At 42.7% G+C, this 7,223-nt stretch overlaps 1 protein-coding gene across 2 annotated transcripts in view; it reads right to left on the bottom strand.

Moving 5' to 3' along the window:
• Positions 1-3,390: 3,390 nt before the first annotated feature.
• DNTT (DNA nucleotidylexotransferase) overlaps positions 3,391-7,223 on the bottom strand; it is a 34,131-nt gene continuing 30,298 nt past the window's right edge. Inside the window, exons 10-11 of one of the 2 annotated variants that reach the window (NM_004088.4) lie at positions 5,981-6,064; positions 3,391-3,817 (exon numbers count right to left, since the gene is read on the bottom strand). In NM_004088.4, the coding sequence (NP_004079.3) occupies positions 3,731-3,817; positions 5,981-6,064 (171 nt within the window). In that variant the 3' untranslated portion in view covers positions 3,391-3,730. The remainder of the gene's footprint in view (positions 3,818-5,980; positions 6,065-7,223) is intronic. The other variant, NM_001017520.2, reaches the window with a different exon arrangement.

Here is a 7,223-nt window from a genome sequence, read left to right as displayed (position 1 = left end):
GCTAAAATGATTTGAAAGATTTGATTGTGAGCGAGAACAAACCATGTTGACAAAATTCTACCATAAATGTGACTGATTTTGTCATGAAGAGTCAAACACTGATTACTGTTGACTCACCTGGCCAGGGATTACCCACTTATGAAAGCCAAGGTAAGGATATGGGTCTTTGTTTTGAGAGCTGGGGAAAGCCTAGTCTTGTGTCCCACCTCTTCTAGTTTCTATTCCCCAACCACTTAGGCCTCCTCTCTGCCCTTCAGATGCCATGGTCTGTCCACAAACATAGGCTTTCTCTCTGCAACTCAGACACGTGGGAACCTCCAGCTGCAAGAGCTTTCTCTCTGCTCATTTTATGCCATGGCCCTCCTGCCACGTGGGCCTTTTCTCTGACACCATGGTCCTTGCACCACATGGCTTTTGCACATGCTGTTAGTGAGATAGAGCTGGAAGTCCATGGAGGCCAAGGTGAATAGAATTTGCAGGGCAGAGTACTGGAGAAAGAGTTGCACAGAGACAGAGGAGACCTCTTGATTATTCCATTGATCAGCATATGCATGTGAGAAAACTACCCAAGGCTGGAGAAAGAACCACACAAAGGGATTAGAGGGAACAATACCCTAAGCTCTAATGGGCCAGGCCTCTCAGTGGGAGGCCACAAACCGTGCCTGTTCCCAAACAGCCAGAGTAGAAAACACCATAATTCACCAGGCATCAGGCAGAACACTGAGAAAAGTATTGCCTCAGTAGTGGGGAAGAATATTAACCCTGGATTAGACTACGTTAGTGCTGCCTAACAAAGCTCAAAAGTAAGATGAGTCCTGCCTAACAAAGCTCAAAAGCAAGATGAGGACACATCAAACTGTTTCCAAGTAAATTAACCACATCCTGGAACAAAGTTTAAGAATATTAACAGGAATACAAAAATATCCAGGAAAAAATTCACAATGTTCACAATGTCTAGAATCCAATATAAAATTACCAAGCTTGCAAAGAGGGAGGAAAATGTGACCCATAATGAGGAGAATACTCAGTTAATAGAAACTGACTCAAAATTGACACAGATGATATCATTAGTAGACAAGGACATTGAAACAGTTACACTATATTCCATGTATTTAATAAGCTAGAGGAAAAATTGAATATGTTAAATAGAAGCATGGAAGATAGTTTTTAAAAACTAAATCATACATCTAAAGATGAAAACTATAATGTGTGAGATAAAATACTGGAGAGGTTTAATGAAACTAGACATTGCAGAAGAAAAGATTAGTAAACTTGAAGATACAGCAATAAAAACTACCCCAAATAAAACACAGATTTAAAAGGCTGGGAAAAAAGTGAACAAATAGAGCATCGGTGATCCATGGCTTCTTACATATAGTTCCAATGTTTTTAACAGATAATCTGCTTCCTACTTGATCTGCTATATCATACTGTGCTTGCCTCCAAGGATTCTTCTGTCAGCCATCAGAGGGCGCTCTGCTGCCAAAGTAGGAGGCACAGGCGAAGGCTGAGTTCTGGTAACTAGTCACCACAATAATTGAAAAAAATTCTGGCCTACGGCAAAAAAAAAAAAAAAAAAAAAAAAAAAACATGTCCAGAACTGATAAAAATTCTGGCTTACAGCAAAAAAGAAAAAAAAGACATGGCATTTGTGGAATCTCCAACAGGCCTTTTCAAATAAGGAAAGTAGCATTTAGAATCTGTGAGGTTCTCTGATGGGGAAACTCCTCTGGCATGGACCTCCTGGGGCTATTGTGTGGTGGGGACCTCCAGAGAACAGGGCTGGGGAGTTGCTCAGTGAAGGCGACAAGGCCACCTGCACATTTCCCAAATGTCAGCCACCTGCGTCCCTCTCTCCTCATTCTTGCCACTCCCCCATTTCACTGGTAATATTTCCTAAATGATTTCCCTGACCTTGAGTCGCTTTTCTTATATAAATAAACCTATTCCAAAAAGGAAGCTTTATATCACTACCATCAATAAGGAACCATTTTCTTAACACCTTTCGAACACAAATAAACACCTTTCTAGAACATAAGCTTTATGCTTATAATCATACAGGCAGAGATTTTTGACAGTTTTGTTATCTTTTCTATGCCCTGTGCCTAGAAAAATGACTGACATGGTAAGCACCCAATAAATATTTATTGATTATATCAGTATGAAAATATTCATCTACTTACTACCTAGAATAATCTTGAATGTCATAACTGGGAAACACTGGGCAGCAGAAAAGACTAGAATACTTTGTGGATTTTGGGATTTGAGGCCAGTGGGGGTGGCTGCTGTCCACCCTCTTGTTGTCCCCAGCTTTTTTTAGCCATCAACTCAAGATGTGACAGGCACACACACCATCTGAGGCCCTTTCAGTGTGTTAGTTTCAGCCTGGACTGTCTTTGGGTTCCAGGATGGGCAAAAGTTTTCACCCGCCACTTCACACCCATTAAGACAGCTATTATAAAACAGATAATGCAGAAGATAACAAGTGTTGAGGATGTGGAGAAATTGGAACGCTTGCGCACTGTTGGTTAAGAATGTAATACGGTGCAGTTGTTATGGAAAACAGTACAGTGGTTCCACAAAGAGTTAAACATAGTATAGAATAGCCATTGAATCTAGCAATTTTATTACTAGGTCCCTACCAAAAGGATTGAAAGCAGGGACTCAAACAGATACTTGTAGGCCAATGTTCACAGCAGCATTAGTCACAATAGCCAAAAGGTATTGTATCTCCCAATATCCTCTTCCCAGAGGGACTGGAAGGAAGGGAAAACGGTCGTCATGGGCCTCCCAGCTCTTTAGCAGGCTGAAGACACGGAAGCAGCTGGAACAGATGACCTGTTAACTCCCTTCAAGGCAAAGGGTCTATGCCTCCTGGAGGAGGCAGGAGGAAAGAATGGGTCTGGAGCCTGGGAGTTCCAAAATTTCCCTCAGCCAGGGCTCCCTCCCTTCCCTTGGGTGCCCTCAGATAAGAAGCCAAGAGAGACTGACTTCCTGAGAGAGACTGAGCCATAAGGTGTAGACAGAAGCTCCAAGATGGAAAAAAGAGGGAGATATTTCTTTGATGGTTTAGGACATTGTCTTTCCTTCAGCACGATGGCAGGGAGAATACATCCTTTATGTGGTCCTGTGCTGGGATGCTTAGGGAACCAGCTGTATGATGGCCGGGAAGGAGCAGGCACTGAGCCGAGCTGAGCCAGTCCAGAGGCAGCACCCCTCCTCCACAAGCTCCAGAACGGACCCAAATCCCCTCTGGAATCTCTGCATCTTCTAATTAAACCTGTTTGTCCCCTTAAGACAAACTGTAAGCTCTTTATTCTTCCACTTGGTTACACTTGTGTTTTAAAATAGTTTATAATATTTGAGTGAAGAAAAACAGATTCCATCATCTTGTTTCCTCCTGTTTTTATTAGAGATAGACAGTATTTCAGCTACACTGCGAACAAAGTGGGCTTTGATGAGCTTCCCTGAATGAGCCACCAGTGACAACATCATTTCTCTTGAAAAATGCATTGTGAATTCTATGCAACAGTCATAAACATGGCCTATTAGAACCTTACCCATTACCAGTGGCACCTTCCCATGTTTCCAAAGTTATTTATTTCTAGTAGCAATCTGCATTTCAATAAGACCTAAATAACCCCAAACTCTCCTATGGCATCTTTTACTAATATGAAGCATAATTTATTTAACTTGAAAAGAATAGGAAAAAAATGTTGACAACACTTTCCTAGGCATTTCTTTCCCACGGTTCAATATAATCCAATCCCAGATGCGCAAAAATTTCTTCTTCACTTTCTGCTTTGAGGAATATCCTCTGAAAACATAACAAGAAATATGTGCATTCAGATATTTTTCATAAGCACCATGGTGTGGACACAGTGAAAGTGTTACTTATAAAATTGCCTTGTCAGAATGAATTACAGCCCAAACATAATTCCCTGCTTCTGAGTATAAAAAGTCATTTTAACTGACTTTCCAAAACATGGTACTAAATGAATTAAAGTAAAATCATAACAGCTTTAACATATTCAGCAAAAGCCATTTGGATATTTTTCCTACGGGCTGTAGTTCTGAACCACAGCTGTTTATTAGAACAACCTGATGGAGTTTAAAAAATAAACATTGAAGCTTGAGCCATACCCCAGTCCAGTGAAATCAGAAGCTCAGGAGAGATCTTATAATCAATCTATCTGAACGCACTGGGTAATTCTAACATGCAGTTATAATTTTGTACTGCTGGTAATTATAGGATACTTGTATGTGTTGGGTTTTCCTTAGCTTTCCATGCTTGCCTCTAACCCCAGCAGGATCCCACTCTGTGATCTCTTTAAGACCAAGCAGCTCTTCTCCTCCATCCCTTCTTGTACATAGCACGGTGCTAGGCACATAGAAGGTACTTGCTTACATTGAACTATTTAGAATGTATTAATTTGTAAGTGTTCCTTCATTGTACTATGTGAATCTGCCTTCACCCACATGCTTAGCATCCGAGGCTTTCCTGCCAGCATCCACAGCCCCCTCTTCTGTGAGCAGCACCTGGATTTTTCTATGGGAAACCACTCCTCTTGACTCTCAGTCCAGGAGGGTTAGGTGCAGCTGCTCCCAATTCCAAGAAGCAGCACATGACCCAAGTCTGGCCAATCAGAGCCACAGTAATGGGTTCAGGGATAGGCACATGACCCAGGCCTGGCCAATGAGCATCAGGTAGGATTCTTGGGGGAACTATTAGGAAACAGGCTCTTCTCTGTTGAAGTAGCTGGAAGAGTGGGACTTATGGGGAAACCTGCCTGAGAATAAAGGCAATACTGAGGGAAGCCTGCCTGAGCACCCATATTCGGCTGCCCCTGAACGCTTCGACATTGCAGTATATAACCCAAGTTCCCTTTTTTGTTTATGCCACTTTAGATTTGATTTCTAACATTTGTAACTGAGACAACTCTAACTGAATACATCTCATTTAGACTACAAGCTCCTAGAGGGAAATGATCATTACTTTTTTTTTTTTTTTTTTCCTGACACAGAGTCTCACTCTGTTGCCCAGGCTGGAGTGCAGTGGTGTGATCTCGGCTCACTGCAGCCTCTGCCTCCCGGGTTCAAGTGATTCTCCTGCCTCAGCCTCCCAAGTAGCTGGGTGTGTGCGAGCCGCCACACCTGGTTATTTTTTGTATTTTTAGTAGAGATGGGGTTTCACCATGTTGGCTGATCTTGAACTCCTGACCTCAAGTGATCCACCCGCCTCGGCCTCCCAAAGTGCTGGGATTACAGACGTGAGCCACTGCGCCTGGCCACTACCATTACTTCTAGTTATTTTGAGTTTTCTTCCCCATGGAGCCTATTTTGGTGTCCTTGATATCTGTAAGAAGAGTAGCCCTTAGAACTGTGGATTTAACAGTTGGATATTTAACTCTTCTAACTTCTACAGGCATCTATCGTTTTGCTGAGGGATGAATTGGATCATGACCACAGTAAGACTAGCACACCAAATGAGTGACATGGGTAGTCAATGAGACTAGCTGGATGCTCATTTATGTCTCAGGGCAGCTCTGTTGCTCTCTTTCTTGCAGGAGACTGTTGTTAATGGCCTACATGGCCACTCAAAATGCCACTGCCCCCTGCATTTGAGGGGTACACAAGTAGTATTTGTGATTTCTGGGGATCCCTGGTTTACTTTGGAGTTACTCATTGCCAACACCAAGGATATACCAAACCCAGTTAATGTTCACTGCTGGACTTGTTCTGGAAGCCCAATTAGCTCATCATGTTTCAGCCAAAATCTCTCGAATTGCATTCTGGGCCGGGTGGAAACTGCGAGTCTGTGGAAATCTTTCTTGCTGCCCTCAACTATGATGAACTGGAAATAGAACACGCATGACAAAGGAAACCATACCTGGATACTAAAATCAGTCCATGAAAAAAGCTCGGGGGCCAGCCTTGGGGATGAGGATCAAAGTAGCCCCTTTTAGGAAGAGAACTGTACCTTGGTCTTGTCATATAAAGCATGGTTATCCAGAATCATCTTCCGCTCATGTGTGGCATAGCGCCGGAGGTCTCTCTCAAACTGCTGGATAGGAGATAGTTAAAATAAATTATTAACACGTCTAGAATGTCTTCAGTATTAGGTGGCTACATCCCTCTAGTGAAATATGTAACTCCACTAAACATTCTCAAAGTGATTTTCCTCCCCCAGGGCCAAATTCTCTGGTGACAGAAGTCCGTGCTCCCATGAACACACTAGAATGTAAGCTCTGTGAGAGCAGGAACCTGGTTTGTTCTGTCCACAACTGTATTCCCTCAAATAGTGCCTCGCATGTAGAAGATGTATAGCAAATGTTTTATTGAATGAATAAATGAATAGCGTGAGCGTTCTACCAGGATAATGCCTGGTCCAGAGTAAATGCTGGATAAATACTAGTTTGGTGGGTGTTACATGATTTGGAATATTGTTATTGTAAAAGAGGATGGAGGAGTCAGGGAACCCGTTCCAGCCTGGACTTTGTCCCTACCTGGCTGTGCATCTCCTGTCAAGTCATCCAGACTCCCTGAGTCTTGGTTGAGTGAATGAAAGGATGGAGGAAGGACATGATTAAGACTCCCTCTGGCTTTAACATCCTTTCACACTGAGATGCCATGAAACTGATCGTCTAAGTCAACTGCTCCTGGATGACATCTCCCACAGTCAGGAATGGGCTCTGAGACTGAAGGGAGCAATACATGAAGCCTAAGACAGAGGACAGGAACACCTTGGGAAAGGAGGGCAACGAATTGTCATGGAGACTAGTTTTCCTGAGAGAAACACAATCTAGAAATTTTGTCCTCTTCATGTGGGAGTAGGGAGCAAGCCTGGGATACTGGTGCCCTCTAGTGGTAAGGAACAATTTGCTATTTTAGGAAAGCTCACCCGGGATGGTTGAGGAGATGGACTTTGCAATCAGAAGTCCTTTATTTGTTTAAAGTCACCCAGCTAAAAAGCAAAAGAGCTTAGTGCTCTGCCAGTGCCTTGCAGAACCAACAGCAACAATTTCTGAGTACTCTGAGGAAACAGACTAGAATGTGTTGAAAACATGTCCATCTTAAAAATAAAATGGGCAAATGTCAACCACTTCAGCCAGTGATGCTTAACTGGCATGACATTGCATAACCAAGGACTTCTTTCTGGAACGTTCCCCTTTCTCAATCAACTATGTGTTCCCAAAGATTTATGTCTATCAGACAAGTTGCAT

Source organism: Homo sapiens, chromosome 10 (genome assembly GCF_000001405.40).
Source record: "Homo sapiens chromosome 10, GRCh38.p14 Primary Assembly".
In the NCBI taxonomy this organism is placed as follows: Eukaryota; Metazoa; Chordata; class Mammalia; order Primates; family Hominidae; genus Homo; species Homo sapiens.
Note: the sequence above shows the minus strand (reverse complement) of the source record. Positions and strands in the feature narration are given on the sequence as shown.